The 23,458-nt window shown below is 48.7% G+C and overlaps 1 protein-coding gene across 14 annotated transcripts in view; it reads left to right on the forward strand.

The window, feature by feature from the left end:
* Positions 1-23,458, forward strand: part of ABLIM3 (actin binding LIM protein family member 3) — a 119,050-nt gene that overhangs the window by 91,840 nt on the left and 3,752 nt on the right. For 3 of the 14 annotated variants that reach the window (NM_001345860.2, NM_001370418.1, NM_001301028.3), the window contains 9 exons: positions 6,427-6,556; positions 11,549-11,683; positions 13,150-13,214; positions 14,450-14,597; positions 16,483-16,512; positions 17,115-17,173; positions 18,027-18,087; positions 18,869-18,876; positions 19,425-19,505. In NM_001345860.2, the coding sequence (NP_001332789.1) occupies positions 6,427-6,556; positions 11,549-11,683; positions 13,150-13,214; positions 14,450-14,597; positions 16,483-16,512; positions 17,115-17,173; positions 18,027-18,087; positions 18,869-18,876; positions 19,425-19,505 (717 nt within the window). The other 11 variants (NM_014945.5, NM_001301015.3, NM_001301018.3 and 8 more) reach the window with 7 other exon arrangements.

Genomic DNA, 23,458 nt, shown 5'->3' on the forward strand with positions numbered 1-23,458 from the left:
TCTTTATTCCTGACCTGGTATATAAAGAGTCACTAAGGATAAGGGAGCTCTCAAGTTTTCATCCAGCTGACATTTGATGCATGCTCTTCATGTGCTAGGCTCTGTACCAGGTCTTGAGGATCCAGTGGGGTACAGGGAGGACATAGATCCCGCCCTCATGAAGCAAACAGTCTAGTAAACCCAGAGTTTCAGGGATAATGCAGAGTTCCATGGAGCACGAGAAAGAAAGTACAATGACAGCAAGAGCCCTTGCTGAGTTCTAAAACCAATGCAAGGTGCCTCATTTCCCACTACTTAACTGAGAGCAAGAAAAAACTGAGGATCAAAGTGGTATTCTGAATAGGTATTAGGTGGAATATTGATGTGGAGATAGTGGTGGGTGATAAAGAGGCAGAAAGGAGAAGGAAGCCACATACACATGTGGAAACATGGCTGTAAAGAATTTGCAAACATAAGGAAGAGGTTTCTAATCATGTGGGAAGTCCAGGGATGGAGCAGACCCACCTCCATGTGTCTGAGCTCCCATCTCCACAGGCATTCAAACACAGAGAGACTCATCATTTGCCAGGGATGTAGAAGAAGAGACAGAAGTTGAGTTCAATGACCTCAGAGGCCCCTTGTATATGTCATTCATTCATTCAACAAACATGTGCCAAGCATTTACTCTGCTAAGCACAGTGCTCTGCTCTGGGGAAATGGTGATGAACTACACAGACTTGATGCCTGTCCTCATGACATTGAAGACATAGTGCCATGAATCATCAATTGCAGTTATAAATTCCAGGAAAGAAAAGCACAGGGTCCTCTGATGATACTACAGATAAACAGAGGGACCTGACAATCTAGGACTAGTTGGGAGAAGGCATCCCGAGGAAGAAACATTAAACTCAAAGCAGAGGGATAAACAGAAATAAGCTAAAGGAGGTGGGAAACGCAGAGCCAGGGAGAGCTGAAACGAGCAGAAAACCTCAATCTGATTGACTCTGGACTGTTCCAGCCTTCCACAAGCCAAAGGAGCCAAGAAGACCAGAAATGTGGGGAAAATGGTCTGTAACAAGAAACCCATTCCTGACAAGAAGCTCTAGATAGAGTCAGCAAACCAGCCAGCCCTGGCCCTGTCCACTACTGCCAGATCATTACTTCAAATCCACATCCAGTCTCCTCTTTGATCCCTGGATAATGCCCATTGATGGGACTATGGGCACCTTTCCTTTCTTCTCTGGTCAAATGGAAAAAAAGAAAAACACTTAAGAGTTATCACTGACTGAAATTTCAATATGGGTCAATACTACCATGTGGCTGTCAAAAAAGACAAGCTGCTTTGATCACAGGCTGTACTCATGGAAGATTCCTTTCTAAAGCAAGAAAGGTAATAGTCTCCCTGGCACTGTGAATGGGGCCAGACCACAGCAGGATTAATGGGCTTAGTTTCCAGGCATGCACAGTGAGAATGTTATTGACAAATATGAGTATGTTTCCAGAAGAGAGTTACTAGAATAGGAGCACTCAGGAAGCTGCTGCACTGTAATACTGTTCATCACAAGCTGGTCTCCCGGTGCTACTGAGGGGCCTTGTAAACCTTTGTGAAATAAGTTAAGCCCTGATGATGTTCACCGTGGAGTCCTGGAGAAAGATTCCCAGAATTGCCCCTGTGATGAGCAACTCCATTACTGAATGGAATTTATGATGGCAGCTAGGAACACCTGCGCTTGTGCCTTCCAACTAGGGGCTTACACATTGAGATCAGTTGTCCCTCACATCCTAGCAGAGGCATGTGTCTCCCCTTCCAGCCTCTCCTGCTCTCACCGTTTATGGTGCCTCATGCTCAGCTGCTCCTGGGAATGACTGAACATGTCATAGAAGCCCTGTTTTCAGTGAGCCCATCCCAAGCATGGCTTTCAAATTTGGAAAAAAATTCATCCATCTGCTTTGGATAGATGCAATAACAAGCATAAAGATGGATTTTAATTTAGTTTTAATAGACATTTGAGATTTTAGATTCAAATAGAATTATCAGTGAACCTGAAACGAGCAGGTTCTTTCAAACTTTCAAACTTTACTCCATCTCCACTGACTTCTAGAATCATCTTCAGGTGGTTTGGCTTTGACCCATGTGTTCTCTTCCTTCCTTCCTGGCTAATTATGTTAGGATGCCTCTGATCAATTGGTGTGTCCAGACCTGAGGCTCATTTATAGCCCTGTAAACAAAGTGGCTATAGGAAGAAATATAAATTTAGTGTTTTTGAGGTTTGGGGTAAAGTGCCAAAATGAATAGTTATGGGTCGAGATGAGTTTGGAAGATGCCAAGAGCTCTCAAGGTCAAGATCTAACAGCCAGGACAAAAGGCAGCAATTACTTCAGCAAGTGGACTCTCATCTAATAAAGGCTTTTTTTACCCACACACCCCCAGAACTGGTGCAGATGTGAGTGTCTGTACCAGGCAGGCTCTGGCAGAAATCAGGTGGCCTACCTCAAAGAGTTCAACTGAGGAAGGTTTCATGACGGAGTTGTGGGCAGGGTTAAGTGGACCCACAGGAGACAGTGAGGTATTCAGGGACTACAGCAACATAATGTTGTTACCACACTGGACCTAAAAAGATGAGGGAAGGGAACAGCATTACCAAAGCTGGCAAGAGCTGGGGAAGCCCAGCCTCCAGAGAGAGTCATGCCCAGCCCACAGCCAGCCAGGAAGGTTGCCAGGGGAATAAGTGTGCCAACCTCTCTCTCCATTCACCCTCTAGTCTCTGCTGGTGCATCCCATTGGCTAAACCCAACTGAAAGTCAGAGAGCAAAAGAGCCTGTGATACAGCCCAGGCAGTGTTCAGGACATAGATCCAGGCAAGGAAGGGTGGACACTGGGTCTAGGGGCAACAGAGAATAAGCAACCCTGCCCTAATTGCAGTGCTGATGTGGCAGGGATACAATAGTGGAAGGGCTTTGGTAGGTTTTCAAAATAGCACAGCTTATAGGTATTTATGAATGGTGCTTCCTATAAAGTAGTCTTGGCCCTGAGACTGTACTTGGCTCCTATGGCATTGGGAGAATGTTATCAGACTAATACAGTCTCTGAATTCTCTATCTAGCAGCCTCTGTTGTAATTTGCAGCACCTCAGGACCTTGCAAGACAGATCCTGGTTGATCATAGCAAACACCAGGTCACAGAGGGAACAGCTGGAGGACATGGCCGTGGAAAAGGCATGGCTTCAGGGGCCATGAGATGCGGGCTGTCACATGCAAGGGGAAGCTTTCTTTCAATCCATGCAGCTCTAGAGGGATGAACTCTGCCAAAGTCAAGCAGAAGGTAGAGGCTCATTTCAGTTCAATGGAAAGAGCAGCTTTCTGAATGCAGCCTTCTGACGGTGTAAGACAGTGAACTCCCCATCCCGAGAAGACAGGAGAGGCCGCTGAAGAGGGCAAGCTCCCTGTGTTGAAACTTGGGCTCTTGCAACTTGGACAAGTTAATTGATTTTTCTGTGCCTCTGGTTCCTTATTCAAAAGGAGGATAATGTTGGTGCCTACTACTAGAGTTGTGAGTTGTATGGATGAACTGGGTTAATCTATATAAGGGACTTGGTACAGAGCCTGGCTTATAATAAGTACTCACCAAATGTTAGCTAGTGTTTTACTATCATGATTATTTTTGTCTTTACCATCTTCATCTTCTTCTTCAAGGATGCTGTGAATTGGGATGTCCTCACTCTGTGGGATCGGAAGGCAGTCAGTACCCAGGCTGTGTAGTTCAGGCTGAATTCAAATCTATTAGCTTAGTGGTGCAAACTGTATAACCTTTTGAGCCTCCATTTCCTCAGCTAGAAAATAGAAATGATATTGACATTTACTTCACAGAGGCATTACAACATCTAGAGGATATAATTATTATAAAGCACAGGGCTTACAAACAATATGTGCTCAATAAATGTTAGCCCTGTTGGAATGGATGGCCTCTAAGACCACTTTTATTCTAACATTCTACTATTCTTCAATTTGATCCTAATCTGTTTGTGGTGGAAACTGGAGAAGTTTGTTCCTTCTGTATCTTGTTTTTGTTTCCTCTCTCCATTCCCTTTTCCCTCTTATCTTTCTATTCCTTTCCTGTCCATTTCCCTCTTCCCTAGGCTAAAGTGGATAATGAGATCCTTAATTACAAAGACCTGGCGGCTCTCCCCAAGGTTAAGTCTATCTACGAGGTACAACGCCCCGACCTCATTTCCTATGAGCCTCATTCCAGATACATGTCCGACGAGATGCTGGAGAGATGTGGCTATGGAGAGGTATCGCATCTTGCCCTTCTCTCTGGGGCTATTGTAGGAAAGGAGATTGCTCTGGGGTCCCCAGCCCTCTCCATCACAGACAGTTTGGCCTCCACAATGCTGGCTCCCAGACTCTTCTACACTGGGATTTATGGCCAACGTTTTTTAAATGAAGAGATTTCATTTGGCTTTCTGGCTCTTCTTGAAAAATCAGAGCCGACAACCTTAAACCTACATTTCCACCATCTGGAGATGGGAAGCAGCACCCCCTATAGACAGGACATGAGCTTTCCATTCCCCCCAGTCCCCCGACTCCCTGTTAATCCCAGCATTGAAGCTAAGAGCCTGTGACCACTTATTACTCAAGCTGTTGTATTTCTTATACTGTAGGAATTTTTCATGTACTCAGCCCAAGGCGCTCATCTCCTGCCAGGCTCAGTGGCCATTTAGATTTATAATCCCTGATTATAACATGTCTAATCAGACATGTTCTCTGGTTTTCCCACCTGGCCTTTAGCCCCAGTGTCTCTTCAAAGGAAGAGACGCTTTTATAAAGACTCAGTAACAGATAGCTTTTGAAATCATTAAATGGTTGCTAAACAAGAGAAAGTGTTTTCTGGAGATGGCAGCAGGGTTGGGGGCAGAATTACCCTGGAGGTCCTGGCAGTCTATATCCTAGAAGATTTCTAACCTTATCCCAGACCCCTTGAGTTAATTTGAGGCAGCAGAAGCCTGTCCTGGTGGGCAGGGACCCAGGTTCTTGTCCCAGCTCCACCATAACTAGCCTCATAACCTCAGGCAAGTTCCCTTCCTCCCTAAGGGATTTGGGTTCCATTTGGTTGAAGAGCCCAGTGCTGAGATTCTCTGGTTTCCGGCCCCTGAAATGCACCAGGAGAGGAGGATCAAGTGTTTAGTAGAAGCCGCTTGTCCTTCAGTTAGAGATGGCAAACCAGGGCCCACAGGTTGCAGCCAGCCCTCAGATTTGTTTTGTTTCACTCACAAAGTGTCTTTTGAAAATGCAAACTAGTTGTCAACAAGTAAACACTGGGAGATTTCATGTAAGAATCTGCACTTCTGTCTTTCTTGGAAAATTAAGATGCTGTGTAAATGCTGGGCAGGCATTCCAGCTGCTGGAGCTGAGGAACTGCTGCCCTCTTCAGTCGAGACATCCCATCTCCAGCTGCTGCACCAGCCACCAGCTCAACTCCCTTGTTGGTGGCCCCAGCCTGGCCCCTGCTTAGCCAGGGTGCTGGCTGCTGGGTGCCCTGCCCTGGGCATCGTCCTCATGAACTGTAGAGGGGTCATGAACCAGTAGAGAGACAAGGAAAGGGTGGTGACAATAGCCCTGAGCATGCAGCACAGAAGCCTGGGTCCAAGTCAAGTCCCTGCCACTTCTGCCCTGAGTGGCCGTGAGCCTTCGTATTCTCTCTCTGGGCCTTGGTTTTTCCCTTCCTAAAAGGCGGGCATAATCTCGAGGTTTCCTGCCTCCTGTCAGTAGTCTGACCCTCTGGAATTCCCAGCGAGGCTGTTATCTGGAGAGGGGTACAAAGGAACTGCTGCAAACCCTCTCTGCCGAGCCATCTAACCATGCTCTGTCCTTCGTCTCGTCCTCCTCTCATTCCTTCTGCTCGTTCCACAACTGCCTTCAAACTCTTCACTTCTAAGTCGCTGGGAACATTATCTCCCTACTCCCAGGTAATTCAGCTGATAGAGAATTAAGTTGATATATAATTGTGCCCCTTTATGTGGACTTCACCCATCCCCAGCCCCCCGAAGGTGTCTGAGCCCTTGCCCAAGGTATTCCCTGCAAGCAGGGAAGTGCTGGAGAGACTCGGGTGCATGTCCTGGAGGAAGTGGTAGTGGCATACAGGATGGAAATCTGCCCTTCCTGCCCAGAGATGGCCTCCCTCAGGCTTCTGGGATCCCTGGTCAGGATTCCAGGGATTGACCCCATAGATTCCATTCAAGGGCCTGCAAGTAATGGGGGAAAGCCCTGGAAATTCTCTGCCATCTTCCTCGGGCTGTGTGTGTAACTCAGGGAGGAGGGGGGTCTCTGTATTCACACCTCAAACCCGAGAATCCCAGATTCCATGTCATGCCCACCTGCCTGCTAGACCCTCGGGCCACAGGCCCACTTAACAGCCAGCCATGCTCACAGCCCCATTTCCTCTCCCAGGACATCTACGAGAACCTGGACCTCCGGCAGAGACGGGCCTCCAGCCCGGGGTACATAGACTCCCCCACCTACAGCCGGCAGGGCATGTCCCCCACCTTCTCCCGCTCACCTCACCACTACTACCGCTCTGGTAAGGAAGGGGGAGGACCTGAAGGGAGAGGAAGAGCCAGGGAGACAATGCAGTCACTTGGGGTCCCTGCTGCAGAGGGCACAAGGCTCCCCCATGATCTCCATCACAGTGTGGCCCTCTGGAGGCCTATGGCCACCCAGGTGACCAGCTGGGCCTCTCTGAGTCCCTGAGATGGCAGGGGGGATGGAGGAGTGTGTGGCACTGAGAAGCAGCAGGAAGGTGGGTGGTGAACTTCCAGGAGAGGGGGCTGGCAGGTGGCCCTGTGGCCCTGGTGGAAGAAGACTCCACCATCCTCGTGGCCTGCCCCATCCGGAGGGCAGAACCAAGAGACCAGAAATATGGCTATGAACTGGCCTTCACCCAAGGGCCACCCCAGCCAATCCAGTCAGACCATCCACAGTCACCCTCAGGTTGGGGGTGATGCCAGCACTTGGATGGAGGAAAGGAGCAATTAAGGGAGCGTCCAAAAGGGGGAGGTTCAAGGATGGTTGGGGAGATAAGAGGTTCAAACTAACATGCCTTCCTGGAGCTCAGTAGAGTTGATCTTTACATCTCACAAAATCTGACTTTGGGATCAAGCCAGGAAGCAAAGTCAAGCTTGTTTCTGCCAACGTGGTGCATGAGAGCACATGCTGCTTCCGCCCCGGAACCTGAGCACGCTGAGACGCCCCAGCCCATCCCCCATCTCTGCTGTCATCACCTCACCACTTCCTAAACTGCCACCGCGTTAATGCCTGTTTTCTCTGTGCCTCTGTTTTCTTTGGCGACCACTTCCTGCGTGCTCCAGGGCCCGAGAGTGGCCGGAGCTCTCCATACCATAGCCAGTTAGATGTGAGGTCCTCCACTCCAACCTCTTACCAGGCTCCCAAGCACTTTCACATCCCAGGTAGGCACTGCCAGCCCAGAATTCCTGGGATGGATGCATGCTCCATGGGGTCACAGGTGCCTGAGTCACCCCCTCGATGCCACACAGGCACCAAGAAGCTGGTTCCTGAGGGACCTCCCTAACCAAGCACCTGCACCAACCCTGTCCTCCAACCCCAACACACCCACGGGCTTCAGATTATCCACTTGACAGAACCAGCCTCCATTAGGACCTCAAAGAAGCAGTCCCGGGAAGAAAAGAGGCAGGGAGCTCGAGTGAGATACCGTGAGTGCTTGAGGGCTGTGAGGGGCGCAGCAGGGGCACACAGCGGTGAAGGCTACACACTTTGGCTTCAAAGCTCTTGGGATGGAATCCGATGCAGCTGCTTATAAGCTCATGACTGTGAGCCAGTTACTTGGCTTCCCAAGCCACTGTTATTCCTTCTGTACAGCTAAGCACTGTTCTGGGCTCAGAGGTTGCAACTGTGCTCAACCCAGCCCAGATCCTGCCTTCATGGTATTTGGTATTTACGTACTAATGTAGGAAGAGAGATAAAAATGAGTAAACAAATAGGTAGAGGATAATTTCAGGTAGCCATAGGTGCCATAAACATAAATAAAACAGGCCATCCTGAGAGATGATGAGGCTGAGAGAGGCCAGGCTAGATGGGGCGGTCAGGAAGAGCTTCTTGGAGGAGGTAACATTAAAGCTGAAAGATGAGAAGGGGCCTGGCGTGGTCGCTCACGCCTGTAATCCCAGCACTTTGGGAGGCCGAGGCGTGTGGGTCATGAGATCAGGAGTTCGAGACCAACCTGTCCAACATGGTGAAACGCTGTCTCTACTAAAAATATAAAAATTAGCTGGGCATGGTGGCTTGTACCTGTAATTCCAGCTACTCAGGAGGCTGAGGCAGGAGAATTACTTGAACCTGGGAGGCGGAGGTTGCAGTGAGCCAAGATCGTGCCACTGCATTCCAGCCTGGGTGACAAAGTGAGACTCTGTCTCAAAAAGAAAAAAAGATGAAGAGCCAGCCTATGAAGAAGCCAAGGAAAGACATCCCAGGCAGAGGGAAGAGCACTATCATGTCATGTGACCGCAGGTCATGACAGGAATTGAGAGGAAGACAGGGGCTACAGGACTGAGTGGGTGTAGTTTGGACAAGGTCTCCCTCTGAGTCACAGCAGAGCCAGGGCTGAACCTCAGTCTCCTGACACCAAGCTCAGTTTTTCACTCCCCACTCACGTTCCCCTCAAGAGCTCATGCTGCTGTTTCATCTACACCTTCCTCAGCTGCCCTAGAGGGGTCCCATCCTGTCTGTCTTTGAGGGAGGGGGAGGGAGGTAAGCTGAAATTCGGCTGCAGCATCCTGGGAATTTTCACATGGAATGAGGTGTGGCCACTGGTGGAGGCAGTGGACACCTTCCTGCATGGGGCTCTGCTGAGCACACACACCCCTGTGCCTGCATGCTCACCCTTCAAGCCCCAGGTCTCTTCCTCGGCACCACTTGGATCCATCCATTCCTCTTCCCGCACCTTACTTGGAACCTGTTGGGACGAGGTTGAAAGTTCAACTTTGGAAGAGGAAGTCACCAGGGGAAAAAGATGGTGGCCCCTTGGAAAAAGTTGTTGCCCATCTCTCTCTTCTGAGATCAACTGACCAAGTACTATCTCCTTTTCTCCCTTTTCTCCTGTCTCTCTCTCTCCCCTCCCCACTGTCCCTTCCTGGTCTGTCTGGCAGCTGGAGACAGTAACATCTACCGGAAACCCCCGATCTACAAACGGCATGGTATGGTCAGAGGTAGATAGGGCTTGGCCACACAAGGAGAGGGGGGAGGTTAACCATCTATGCAGATGGCCCTGCACAGGCCACCAGGAGCCACAAAACACAAGGCTGCATCTTGGTCCTTCTTGTTGACTGCCCCATCACCCAGGGTGACATTAGGGCAGAGTTTGGTATCATTTCAAAAGAACAAAGTCCTCATGTCCCCTCAGTTCTTTCCCACCACCTTTGCAATCTCCCCCTTACCTGCTCTCTGTCATCCTAAGTTCCATAATTGGTAAAACCTTTGTAAAACGCACATGCCCCTGGGAGAGTCACACTCCAAGGCATTAATACTTGAAATGTTCATTAGAATAACAGGGGATGCATACAGATTCCTGGGCCCCACCCCAGGCTTACTGAATTCGAATTCTGTATGTGTCACGGTTTCTCCAAGTGATTCTGATACTCAGCCCAACTTGGGAACCCCTGCTGTAAGTTGTTCTCAGTCACAGTCTCCTGAGAGTGGATGGAGACTTGCAGAGGAGATGTAGATGAGTAAGGTTGCAGAGGGTGACTTCCTTCTTTCATTCATTCATTGATTTAGTGTTTCTTAAAGAATGATCTATGGACCATCTGCACCTGAGAGACATTTAAAAGGCAGATTCCCTGGCCCCTTCCTTGCCCCAGACTCCCTTAATTATAAATATTGAGAGTGTGAACTAAGAATCTGCACTATAACTGGCTTTGTCCATGATTCCTCCCTGCACTTAGTATGAGAACCACCAAGTCATTCATCACTGACACCACCTGTTCACTTTTGCAAAAAGTACTTACTAAGCCTCGATTGAAGGAGCACATCCCTTCCATTGAAGCTGCAGAGGAGCAGCTGCCACCCTGTGCACCCACACTTGCTTAAGGGTCTAGCTGGATAACAAAAGGAGGCCCAGAATCGGTGGAGCTTGGAGATGAGCGAAGCAGTCCTGCACCAGGTTCTGAACTAATTAGCTGGTGGAGGGGACAATACGAGTTTAAACAGCGGCTCTGGGTGCCTAAGATTCTACATTTTATACAGACATCCTTGGTTCCAGAGGGGGCTGAGCAGGGGGGTCCGAGGTGAGTCTGTGAGCATGTGCAAGTCTGTACCAGCTTGTGAAGGACATGCCATGTCCCCTGAGTACTCATAGAAAGACACCAACATGACAAAGGTAGTTTGGCTTTATACCTAGAAAAGGCCCCCAGGTCACAAGCTTCTCAGGACTTTGTGGGATTTTCCAGGTGGGCCCTGAGGGGTGGCACTAAAGCAGACTCAAGAGGAGTCTGGGGTGGAGGTGGGTTGCTTGGAAAAGAGGGCGGAGGAAAAAGCTAAATGCAGTCAGCCAGGAGGGGCTGCCCAGGACCCAAGTCAAAGAGAAGAATTTGAAAGCTTTGGAAGCAAGTGCTGTTGTGGGGGCTGCATAGCCCAGGGCTGGCTGAAGCTGATCCACCACGCTCTGCCACTCTGGCTCCACAGAGCACAGAGCTTGTCCCTAAAGCTTCCTGTAGCTGACCATGAGAAATGGTCATGCAGCCACACACACTTCCCCAGCCCCTCTCTCTGCTCTACCAGCCTGTCACCCACGTTTGGGCCACGAGAAGTCACTGCTCTGTAAGTAGTTGTGACTGCAGTGGGTCTTTTTGGTCACCCCTGTCCTGGGCTTACTTCAGGTGGAAGCTTGAAGCTGGATGGCAGCTGAGCCAGCAGACCGATTCTGACACTTACAGATGAGGAAACTAAGGCAGAGATGGTAGGACCTGCCCAGTGTTACAGCTGAGTAAAGTGGCAGAGCTGGGACCAGAACCCAGGTTTGCTGACTCCCTGTCTAGCACTCCTTCCTTCAGGCTATGTAGTCCCTGAGCAGAATGTGGCATCTCAGGTTGTGAGAAATGATGGAGTTCAAATTTATAACAAGGAAGGCTTCTAAAGGGCTAGGAAGGCTTCTAAAGGGCTGGGGCTCACCTGGGACCTGTCCAGTCTTATTTGAGGAGCCACACCCTTAGAGGTCATTCTGGAACAGACCTGGGAATCCATGGAATGTGCTGGAAAGAGCCCTGGGCTGGGATCTGGTCCAGTTCTGGTGCTCACATGCTATGTGGTCTTAAGCAAGCCCCTTCCCCTCTCTGGTGCTCCAATTACTAAATGCAAAATGAGGGTTTGGCCCCAGTGCTTTTCCAGCTCCGATGCTCCATGGCCCAGTTCTAACAGAGAGCCCTGATCTTGAAGTGGACTCACTCCCCTGGGCTGGAGCCTGGTAAAGATAGGAAAAGGGTACACAGTCCCATCCCGGTCACTCTGCCTTCCTGAAGTGCTCTCCTTGGGTCCTCTGCAGGTGATTTGTCTACAGCAACCAAGAGCAAAACAAGTGAAGACATCAGCCAGACCTCCAAGTACAGTCCCATCTACTCGCCAGACCCCTACTATGCTTCGGAGTCTGAGTACTGGACCTACCATGGGTCCCCCAAAGGTAGTACCCCCATAGGAGCCTGGGTCCAGGGCCCTAACACCTGTGCCAAGGACACGGGTGTTCAGAACAGTTGCCCACTCCTTTATACAATCATTCTGAATAAGAGTGCTTAGAGGGTTTATAACTAAGGGTGTTTATTCATTCAACAAATATGTACTAAACACTGGCCATGGACCCTAGCAATACACTGGGGAGCAAAACAGACCAGGTCCCTGCCCTTGTGGAGAAGACATAGGCCCCAGCCATGAGAGGGAGGTGATGCGCAGAAGGTAGGAGAGCTGATGGCAGGGGCCTGCTGTCCAGCCTGAAGATGACAAAAGTTTCTCAATGCAGCCACTCAGCTGCCATCAGGAGGGTGGCAAGGATGTAACACAGCAGAGAGTGTAGAAATACTTCTGCAAAGACCCAGGATGTGAGAGAGGATTCCACTGGAGGAAAGAAAAGGCTGTCCACTTAACCTTGAACTCAGAGAGGAAGAGAAGCAGTAGAGGTGAGGGAGGAGGTCCCCCAGGGTTTTGAGGGTTGAGGTAAGGATTTTGGTTGTTATCCTAAACAGTGAGTGGCATGATCACATTGAAAGTAGTGGCATGATCACATTTGTGCTTTTGAGAGACCACTTTGGCTGTAGGGTAAAAAATGGTTGGGAGGATGGAGAAAGAGAGGATGTGGGGAGGTGGAAGGCTCCTGGTAAGGGGTCTCAGTGGTCCTCAGATACCACCTCACCCAATCATACAACCCAAGCTGTTCCTTTCAAGTATGGGGGGAAATTTTTCCCCCCATCAAGATCCACTCTGATTCAATGTCTTTACTAATTCAATGTCCATTCTGAGCAAAGCTTCACAGAAGCTCAGAGATGACTCTTTGGTGCTGGGCACAGTGGCTCACGCCCGTAATCCCAGCACTTTGGGAGGCCAAGTTGGGAAGATCACTTGAGCCCAGGAAATTGAGACCAGCCTGGACAACATAGCACTTCTTCTCTACAAAAAAATTTTTAAAAATTATCTGGGCATGATAGTGTATGCCTGTAGTCCCAGCTACATGCAAGCCTGAGGCAGGAGGATCCCTTGAGCCTGGGGACTTGAGGCTGCAACAAGCCATGATCACACCACTGCACTCTAGCCTGGGTGAGAGTGAGCCCCTGTCTCAAAAATTTAAAAATTTAATAAAAGGATGACTCGTTCGCTACTCTCAAAGAAGTCTTCATTTAGAAAAGAAGGTAAGACACAAATACGACTATAACCAAGTGGGCAGTGATCCATCCCCACAGGAGAGGAGTGTTCAGAGACCACAAAGGCAGCAGAGACCACTTTCAGCTGATGTGGGGCTTAGCTTAAACGAGACTGTTTCCATTGAAAAATAAGATTAAAAAGAAAGAAAAGTGGCTTTTCTTTTTTAAAAAAAAAATGCCTTAAGCCAGGCTGAGTGGGGTGCACATGCCGGAGCTGATCTTTTCTGTCTTTTGACAGTGCCCCGAGCCAGAAGGTTCTCGTCTGGAGGAGAGGAGGATGATTTTGACCGCAGCATGCACAAGGTGGGCAGAGACCACAGCACTGAATATGATGCTTAGAGCGTATATCACTGAGGGTCTTTTCATTTACAAGCAACAAAAAACAGATTCAAGCCCACTTATGATAGAAAAAAGAAAAGCATAGCTTTGCATAACTGAAAAATCAAATGGTGGAATTAGCTTAAAGTATGACTAGATCCAACTGCTCAAAAAAATGTCATAGGAAATTTGTCTCTTCACTTCTGGGGCTTGCCTCTGCATTGGCTTCATGCTCAGGCAAGCTATTTTCACATAATGGTAAGCAGGTGCTTGCAACCCTTGTTCATTGCTGGTGAAACCCTTGTTTCAGCCCCTGTGGAAAACAATTTGGTGGTTCCTCAAAAATTAAACATAAAATTACCACATGATCCAGCAATTCCACTCCTAGATATATACCCAGAAGAATTAAAAACAGGACTTAAACAAATACATATATACTCATATCCGTGGCAGCACTATTCACGAAAGCTAAAATATGGAAATAATCCAAATGTCCATCAGCTCATGAATAGGACAAAATATGGTATGTCCATACAGTGGAATATTATTCAGCCATGAAAAGAAATGAAGTAATGATACATGCCACAATGTGGATGAACCTTGAAAACATTATGCTTAAGAAAAGAAGCCAGACACAAGGTCGCATATTGTGTGATTCCATTTCCATGAAATATGCAGAATAGGCAAATCCATAGAGACAGAACATAGATTGCTGGTTCCCAGGGGCACGGGGAGAGGGGAATGGGGAGTGAGTGCTTCATGGATATGGGATCTCCTTTGGGGGAAATAATGGTATTTTGAAACGAGATAGAGGTGGTAGTTCCACAACATTGTGAATGCACTGAATGCCACTGAATCATTTCCTTTAAAATGGTTAATTTGAAGTTAAGTAATTTTCACCTCAGTTAAAAAGAAAAAGGTGGCTATCTGCCCATTGTTGAATCAATCACTGTGCCAAGACAATGGGATCCTGTCACTGGCCAGGCTTGCTTTTTTGTGCCCACCACCAGACCCCCACCCAGACCACAGGACAACTTGTGGAAGACAAGATGAGATTGCAACAGGAAACATGGGTGCCACAAGGTGGGAGGGACGCTGGGAAGGCAAACATGAGAGCAGGCTGCTATGGAGGATGTGATCCTCAGCCTTGCCCAAGCCCGTTCCATCTCAGTGTCCTTTGTTTTCCTTCTAACTTTATCTTGCTCTTCCCCGACCCTCAGCTCCAAAGTGGAATTGGCCGGCTGATTCTGAAGGAAGAAATGAAGGCCCGGTCGAGCTCCTATGCAGATCCCTGGACCCCTCCCCGGAGCTCCACCAGCAGCCGGGAAGCCCTGCACACAGCTGGCTATGAGATGTCCCTCAATGGCTGTAAGCATGGCTCTGGAAGCCCAACGGGGCGGGGACACCTTTCTCTGTGACTAGCTGGCAGTGTCAGCTGTTTGCTCTGAGCCAGGCTCCCTTGAGGCACAGCCCATGCATCCTCTCTCTTCTTCCTCACAGCAGCCCTGTGGTGGGTGACTTGCCCAAGATCACTCAATTTATCAGTAATGGAGCTTACTTCATCAGCTTCCTTGCCTGCTTTTATAAATTAGGTTCTATTGGAATGTAGCCAGCCCCGTCTCAATCCCCTGGGCTAACAAAAGAATCAGAAGAGGCTGGCCACAAAGGTTAGCCCCAAACCCTGCAATGCCCCTTCTGGGAGCTTCATTGAGGTCTAGAATACAGATTTGGAAAGGCGCTCTATGGGGCACTATGTAAGACCATGCTGCCCTGAGCAGTCACTCCCATTGCTTTGGGGCATCTGAAGCTCTGACTTCCAGTCAGATTCAGTATAAAGAAAAATGGCTTGGCTGGGCGCAGTGGCTCATGACTGTAATCCCAGCACTTTAGGAGGCCGAGGCGGGCAGATCATGAGGTCAGGAGATCAAGACCATCCTGGCTAACATGGTGAAACCCGGTCTTTACTAAAAATACAGAAAATTAGCTGGGCATGGTGGTGGGCACCTGTAGTCCCAACTACTCGGGAGGCTGAGGCAGGAGAATGGCGTGAGGCAGGAGGCGGAGCTTGCAGTGAGCCGAGATTGCACCACTGCACTCCAGCCTGGGCAACAGAGCGAGACTCTCTCTCAAAAAAAAAAAAAAAAAAAAAGAACGATGTCTTATAATCATCGGAATGGCTCAAAGATGTAAGGGATGGCCTCCTGAGGTAGTGAGTCTACCATGATTTGAACTTATACAAGCAGGGGCTTTATTCAAATACTTCTTGAAAATCTCATTGCAAGCTCCTCCTATTCCTGGACACACACACACACACACACACACACACACACACACACACTCTGTCTGCCTCCTCCTTTTCTTACTCCTGTGAGATGCAGTCCTGCCAGGAAATCTCATCTCGGATCAATACATTATGGATAATAAAATGCACCATTTATTACACTTCTATGTGCCAGGCATTTGTAGGAATGTTACACTCCTGGTAGAGCTGCAATGTAGAGGGATTATTATCACCCACTTTATAGATGAGAGAACTGAGGTTAAGCCACTTGCTCCAAGTCAAAAGCCAGTAAGTGACTGAGCCAGGATCAGACCCAAGTTGGAGTGGCCCCAAGGCCATGAGCTCTTCCCTCTTCCCCATACTACACCTTGACTCTCAGTGAGATTGAAGATGTTGGTGTTGGCGGCAATATGATAAAGCCAGTCTTATGGAGTGTTATAGATGCGTCAGGCACTATGCTAAGTATCTTACTGTATTGTGTCACATATTCTTCACAATAATCCTACAAAGGAGGCACTATCACTCCCCATTTTGCAGATGAGAAAACCAAAGCGTGATTAATTAGATTGTCTGAAGTTAGAAATCTACTAATGGCAGAGCCAGGATGAACTGCTGAGCCTGTTTTCCTGCCTGACCACTGAGGGCCACTGTTTCCAAGCCCTGGCTGCGGGGTCTGTGCAGTGCACCAGTGCTGTTTGCAATTCAACCTTGTTCAACCACATCTGTGCAACAAATATCACAGAGCACCTGCCCTGTGCCAGGTGCCAGGCTGGGAGCTGGACAGGGAAGGGAGATGGGGTGCAAGTGCAACAATTAAAAACTGACCAGTTCAGGAGGGGCTGCAGGAGGCCCCTTTTCCCAGCCAGCCAGGGGGATCGGGTATGGAAGCCACATCTCTTTGTCCCCATGAATTGTCTTCACCATGTTTGTCTTTCCTCATGAGCAATGACCTTCAGCTTTTCTCTCCTGCAGCCCCTCGGTCGCACTACCTGGCTGACAGTGGTAAGTTCTACCTGCCCTACCTTCAGCCCATCATGTCCCATGAGGGACAGAGCTGTGTCAGCTGCAGTTCTCCATAGTTCTAATGACCATACAATGTGGATGTCCCAGCCCACTCCTGATCTCAAATAGTCTACTCCATTGTATTTGTCAGATTGTGGGTCTGCATTTGGGTTTCTGGAACTAGGATTGCCATCCCCAATAGATGGTCCCAGAGGAAAAAAAGTGCACACACCTCTTCCACCACCTGGGAGCCTTCCTACCTGAGTTCTGAGCTTGACTTCAATTCCAGGGCCTTTGTCCAGAGCCAGCCTGTGGCCAGGACACAGGGGTCTATCACAAGAAGATAGAGATGTGCAGGTCAAGGATAGAAGAGTGTATGAGTGGGTGCCTTGGGCAGGTACCTAGAATTCTGCTAGAGTGAAATGCCCCCAGAGATGGTCAAGTTGCAAATCTGGAGAGCATCAGGAAGAGTTGGTGGCCTCTGGCCTCCACCCCTTCCTGCTAGGTTGGGAGCAGTGTTGGCCATTGGTAGCCAGATGACCTCAGGGAGAGGGACTCATGGCTTGGGACTCCTGATAATTGCTCTAGATCCTTCTTTTCAGATCCTCTCATCTCCAAATCTGCCTCCCTGCCTGCCTACCGAAGAAATGGGCTGCACAGGGTAAGAAGCTGTGCTGGAGGATGGGGGAGGACGTTGTCCCCAAAATGCTAATAAACCCAACATTAGCTTATTGTAAGGTGAAACCTGAGCAAAGGTCCTGGGGCTAGTGGTGGGTTAACTGACACAACTGTATGGCAATGACTTGCTCCCCTCCCTGGTGACCCCTTCGTGAAAAGGGGCCCCCATGGGAGGGGCTTGGGAACAACTAGTACTTATTGGGCAATAACCCTGTGCCAGGGACTCAGCTAAACACTTTGCAAGCACTAATTTGTTTTGCCTTCACAACCCATGGAGGCAGTTACTATCATTTACCCTACTTTGTGCATGCAGAAAGGCACAGAGAAGTGAGGTGACTTACCCCCACTCTTCAACAAGAAGTAGTAGAGCCAGGATTCAAGCCCAGGCCAGCTGATCCCACAGCCCACCCCCAACTGCTATGCTCCACTGGCCTCTAACATGGCCTGTACATTTTCTGAGCTCCCTGAGCGTGCTGTTATGGAAAAAGAAAAGTGATGAGCAGGGTAAGGAGGATTGAGAGTTCATGGAAGGAGTGACTTGCAACTTCCAGCCAGGTTGTCAGGGCAAATCTCCTAGAAAAAGGGGTGTTTGAGCAATGAAAGAAAGCATGAAGTGAAATTCACCAAATAAATGGATATATATTGAGTAGCCACCATGTGCCAGGACAAAGCACAGGGATATAGCAGCGAGTTAAGTTTCCCTAACTTGAGACAGAGGCTGCTGAGAAGGCCCTATGTCCCACAAGCGCCAGTCCATTTTCTGGAGGTGGGTGAGTGCTTCAGGGAGGCAGAGGTGAGCTTATCTCAGGCCAGCCGTGGTTCTGTCTCTTCTGCAGACACCCAGCGCAGACCTCTTCCACTACGACAGCATGAACGCAGTCAACTGGGGCATGCGAGGTGAGTGCAGGCCTGCAGGGGGTCTGCAGGGAGAGTGCCTCCAGATGTACCACTCAAAACTGCAGCTTGACCTTCGGCAAATGATGGCTACAGATTCTGTCCCCACGCTGGGCTGTGTCCAACCCTGAGTTCTTACTCTCTTTCACTTCCCACCCCCTCCCTTTTCCCCTGCTCTTCCGTTATCCTCTCAAGTCCTGGCCTTGGGTGGTCTCCAAGCCACCTGTCCCATCTGGGTTCCCAGAACCATCACAGAGTTCTGCTCTCTTCTCCCTGGACTGTGGACCGAGGGTTGCCTGCCAGCCCCAGTGGAGGGAAGCACTCAGAGCCAATTGCACACTGTTCCCAGTAAGAATTCCATGAGCTTCCTGCTCTCTGCCAGTGATGCTTTCACACCAAACTCGACCAGCTCCTATGAGCAAGCTCAGGCAGAAGGGGCCCACATCAGAACCTTGAAGGATTCCCCACAGAAGATAGAGGATCTTGTCCATGCGTTTCAGATCTCAGATTCTTCTAATTTCTATTCTAAATATCTCTAAGGCCATTTTTTCCTTAGAACCATCTCAAGATCAGCCCAACCCCTATCTTCAGCCTTCCACTGTGCTCATACCAGCCTTGATTGTCCTTCAGGGTGAATTCAGCAAGGACAAGGTCTCTGATGGTCAAGAGAAGGAGACAATAGAGGCCAGACCCCCTGAGAGAGTAGGACAGAGGCCTGTGTAGTGATGCAAAGCAAAGACTGATGGGCTCCATTCTGTGTGTGTGTCTCTTTTTCTCTCTGCAGAGTACAAGGTAAAGGATGTGCATAGACCCTGGGGGTCTCCAGGATTCTTGGAGCCGCTACACTGGGGATCACCAGGAGGATGACAGCACTGTCTATGTAGGGAAGGGAACATAGATAAATAACCCCAGGGGTCCTTTCAAGACCAACATTTCCTGTCCCTTCTTGGCCCACTTTTCCTGAATCCTGCCCTAGGTCTCTTGCCTACTGAAATCAGATACTCTCCCTGGGCTTCAGAGACACTCTGTTGGCTTGCCAGTCACCAAATATTAGACACTTACATTCGGGAGGTCATGTGCCCATATTATTCCATGGGCACATGGCAAATACCTCCAAGCTTATTCCTAGTAGTATTAGGGGACTCTCTTGGGCCTTGTCTTTTGAGAGAAGGTATCTTAAGACTGCTGGGCAACCCCAAGAAGGGCAGATCCAGCTCTTCCTCCAGACTTAATTTCTGGCCATTTCTGGATAGAACAGAGAGCCCAGACACAAAATGTACCTGAAAGGAACAAGCCCACCACCCTCACCCAAGCTGGAGACCACCCCCCTTTCTCCTTAGATCTACCCTTATGAACTGCTGCTGGTGACTACAAGAGGAAGAAACCGACTGCCCAAGGATGTAGACAGGACCCGTTTAGAGGTAAGTCTAAAAAACTGAGCAGGAGCTCTTGGGTTGGAAGAAATTTCAGAAGTTGCTTGGTATAATCCAGCTCAAGAGGGCTGGGTGGAATGAGTGGCTTTAAGATCACACAGCTTATTGAAAAAGCAGGGACTTGAACCAATTTCCTCAGCCCAAAACTTCCCCATACTATTCCCCAAAACTGTCCCATGCTGTTCCCCCAAAACTGCCCCATGCTGTTCCCCCAAAACTTCCCCATGCTGTTCCCCAAAACTTCCCCATGCTGTTCTTTGCTGCCTCCTCTTCAATTCAGTTAGTGTCTGTGGTGCACAGGGACAGTAAGTCCTCAACTAGGGCCAATGCTTCTGCAGAATTGCAGAAGAGCTAGATTTGCTCCCTGCCCCCAAGGGGCCCTCTGTCTCAGGATTGTGCATAAAACTTGTGCTTGTGATGGGGGACAGGGGGAGGCAGCACTATGTGGAAGGAAAAAAAGCATAAGTAAGTCTTGAGTCAAACTCCCTAGGTTCAAACTCTGATTCTGCCATCACTAGGTTGGCAGCTTTAACCAAGCGACAACCTCACTGCAACTTGGTTTTCTTCTCTGTAAAGTGAGGGTGATTGGTGTGCTTCCCCCATGCTGCCAAGAGAAGTGAGTGAGCCAGTACCCATAAAGCCCTTAGCATGGAGTCTGGCAACATATTGAGTATGAAGTGCCCAATGAACATTAGATTACTGTTGTGCAGGGGAGACCACTAAGGCCTGAGGCAGTCAACACAGGTTTGCAGAAAAAGGAAGGATGTAGACGGACTAGAAAGACAAGTAGAGTTTGTGATTGAGAGATGGAGAGGAGAACAGCATAAATAAAGGTGCAGAGGTGGGCCAGAACATGGTGCTGGGCATTTGAGCAGTCCAGACCACCTGGTGTGGAGTTCCAGTTCCTGGGCTCCTCTGGTGCTGGAGCACACTCTGCCCCTTACAGCCTGTTGCCACTCCCTGCCTCTCCCTCTCCCCAGAATGCCTGTATTAGTCTCTAATGCGGCTAATGAAGATATACCTGAGACTGGGTAATTTATAAAGAAAAAAAGGTTTAATGGTCTCACAGTTCCACATGGCTGGGGAGTCCTCACAATCATGGTGGAAGGCAAAGGAGGAGTAAAGTCACATCTTACATGGCAGCAGGCAAGAGAGCTTGTACAGGGGAACGCCCTTTATAAAACCATCAGATCTCATGAGACTTATTCACTACCAGGAGAACAGTATATGGGAAACTGCCCCCAAGATTCAATTATCTCCACCTGGCCCCATCCTTGACACGTGGGGATTATTACAATTCAGGGTGAGATTTGGGTGGGGACACAGCCAAGACATATCAATGCCCTTCGCATCTCACCAGCCTCCTTGCTCCTCAGGGCTCCGCACTAGTAATCCCTGTGCCCCAAAGCCTCCTCCAACCCTCCTATAGGAGGGGTCACTCCCCTTGTCCTCTGACCTCCTCCAGCTTTCTATCCAAAGTACATCAAGCACCTTTCACTCTCCTGTGTATCAGATCATGGATGTGTCCATTTCCTCTGCCTGACCCTGAGTTTCTTAGGGACAAACATTGTCTGCCCTCTACCACAGGGTCTGGGCTGGGAGAGGTGTCAGAAAACGTTTGTGGGATTGAGTGCAGGCTTCTGAAATAGGAGGCTCAGCACCCCTCAGGAAAAGCATATGAGCTGCCCTTGACTTGATGGCGTGGAATTGGCCCAGGGTAGACGGTTGGGGCAGAAGGAGGGGAATGTACGTTAGCCAGGAAGCTCTGTGAGTTCTTCCAGCTCTAGCATGCTGGGTTAGCACCCCAGGAAGTGGGTGATTCTCCTCACATTTCAACAAGGGCCTCCTCCTTTCACTGTCTCCAAATGAAAGTGTCCACCAGTGCTGAAGGGGACAGCTCCCAGGGCAGCTCAGTGAAGCCAGTTTTTAGGGATGGAAACATTCTCCAGGACATCAGAATCACCCAGGGACCTTTTTAAAAATACCATACAGGGGCCCCACAGTAGACCAATTTAATCACAATTTGGGGAAGGAGCTCAGGTCTAGAACTTTTTAAAAGCACCCAAGGATGGCTAAAATGTAGCCTGAGCTGAGGCCCATGGGCTAAAGACACTGCCCCAGCCTCCTGCACTAGTTCTAGGAGGGGACTGAAGAAGGAAGACTATGACCCTGTCCTCAAGGAGCTCAGAGAATAGATATTCATTCATCCAACAAATATTTATTGAATCATCCTCACCTTACAGAGGAGAAAATAAAGGTTCAGCAAGGCTGTCATTTGGCTAAAGCTGATCACCTAGTGATGACAGAATCAGAGTTTGAACCGAGGGAGCTTAACTACACAGTGCTGCCTCCACTCTCTTCCACCATCACAAGCACTCGTTTTATGTACAGTCCTGAGACTGTGGGCCCCTTGAGGGCAGGGAGCAAATCTAGCTCTCCTCCTATGTCTGCAGAAGCATCTGGGTACGGTTCGAGGTGCTTGCAATATATCAATGAACAAAACAGAGACCGCTGCCCTCTTGGAACTTACATTTTTGTGTGAGAAGACATAAGATGTGTCTCCTTTATTTGTGTCAATATTGTTGACACAAAGAAAAAATAAATGACACCATGTGTTAGAAGGTAATAAGTGCTAAGGAAAAAAGTTAAAGGAGAGAAGAGAAGGGGATTAGGAGAGGAAGAGGTGAGTTGCAGTTTTAAATAGCATCATCAGATTTGGTCTCATTGGATGCATGACATGTAAGCAAAGACTCGAAGTAGTTGAGGGAGTGGGGCATGCTTTTATAAGAAGGAAGAACTTTCTGGGCAGAGGGAACAGCCAGTGTTGAGACCCTGATGCAGGAGGGAGCTTGTTGTGTTTGAACATAGCAGAAGGTTAGTGTGTCTAGGGTCACAGGAGCACAACAAAGATGAGGAGGAGAAGATGAAGTCCAAGGAAACTGGAAGCAGATCACACAATGTAACAGGTGCATGAAAAGATCACCATGATAGTGAAAGTGACCAGACTGAGTGCTTTCTGTGTGCCCTTGAGTGTTGAGCACATGACCTGTATCTGCTCATTCACCCTCATGGTATTCATGGTGGAGACACTAGGATGCTCCCATTTTCCAGAAAAGGAAATTGAAGTTCAGGAGGGGTTAGGTAACTTGTCCATGGTCACATGGCCATTTCTCCCTGGCTGTAAGAGCTGCACTGTTAACCTTCCTGCTTTAACGCCTTTCTGTGGCAAATGTCAGATGGACAGTAGTGGCATTAGGGGCCTTGAGAACTGGAGGGAGAAAGGAGGCCCCAGCTGGCCCTTAGAGGAGAGAAGCCCTGGTCTCCTTCCAGTGTGTCCTGCTTGTGAACACATTACTTGAGGGTGAGTCTACCATTCTTTTATATCAAGACTCATAACAAAGATTTTTTAACATGATAGAGAAACTCAACTGGAGAACCAATACAGACCACCACCCTCCAACAACAATAACAAACGATTCCAAAGTGCAGTTTCCCTCTGTCTTTACTATGGAAGGAGCAGAGAAGGGGACTCTCCTATCCAAGGTGTCTTTCAGCACTCACTTGAGTAGCACAAACATGGACAAGTCAATAGTACAAAGAAAGAGGCAGGGTCTTAGGGATCTAACAAGCAAATGTGATGTGTAGGCACTGCCTGGGTCCTAGTTCAGATAAACCAACTGTGAAAAGACATTTTCAAGACAGGAACTTTGTAATGGACAGGTATCAGGGAATTCTGAAGAATTCCTGTTAGATTTTCTTGAGTTTACTCATGGCATTGTGTAACCACAATGTGAGAAAATATTCAGTGTGTTTTGAGAAACATTCTGAAGTGCATAGGAATGAACTGACACAATGTCTAGGCTTTGCTTTAAAATATTTCAGAAAATAAAATAGGTAAATGAAGCAAATGTGGAAAACCTCACAATTACAGGATCTGGATA

The sequence above is a fragment of the Homo sapiens genome, chromosome 5 (genome assembly GCF_000001405.40).
Source record: "Homo sapiens chromosome 5, GRCh38.p14 Primary Assembly".
Lineage (NCBI taxonomy): Eukaryota > Metazoa > Chordata > Mammalia > Primates > Hominidae > Homo > Homo sapiens.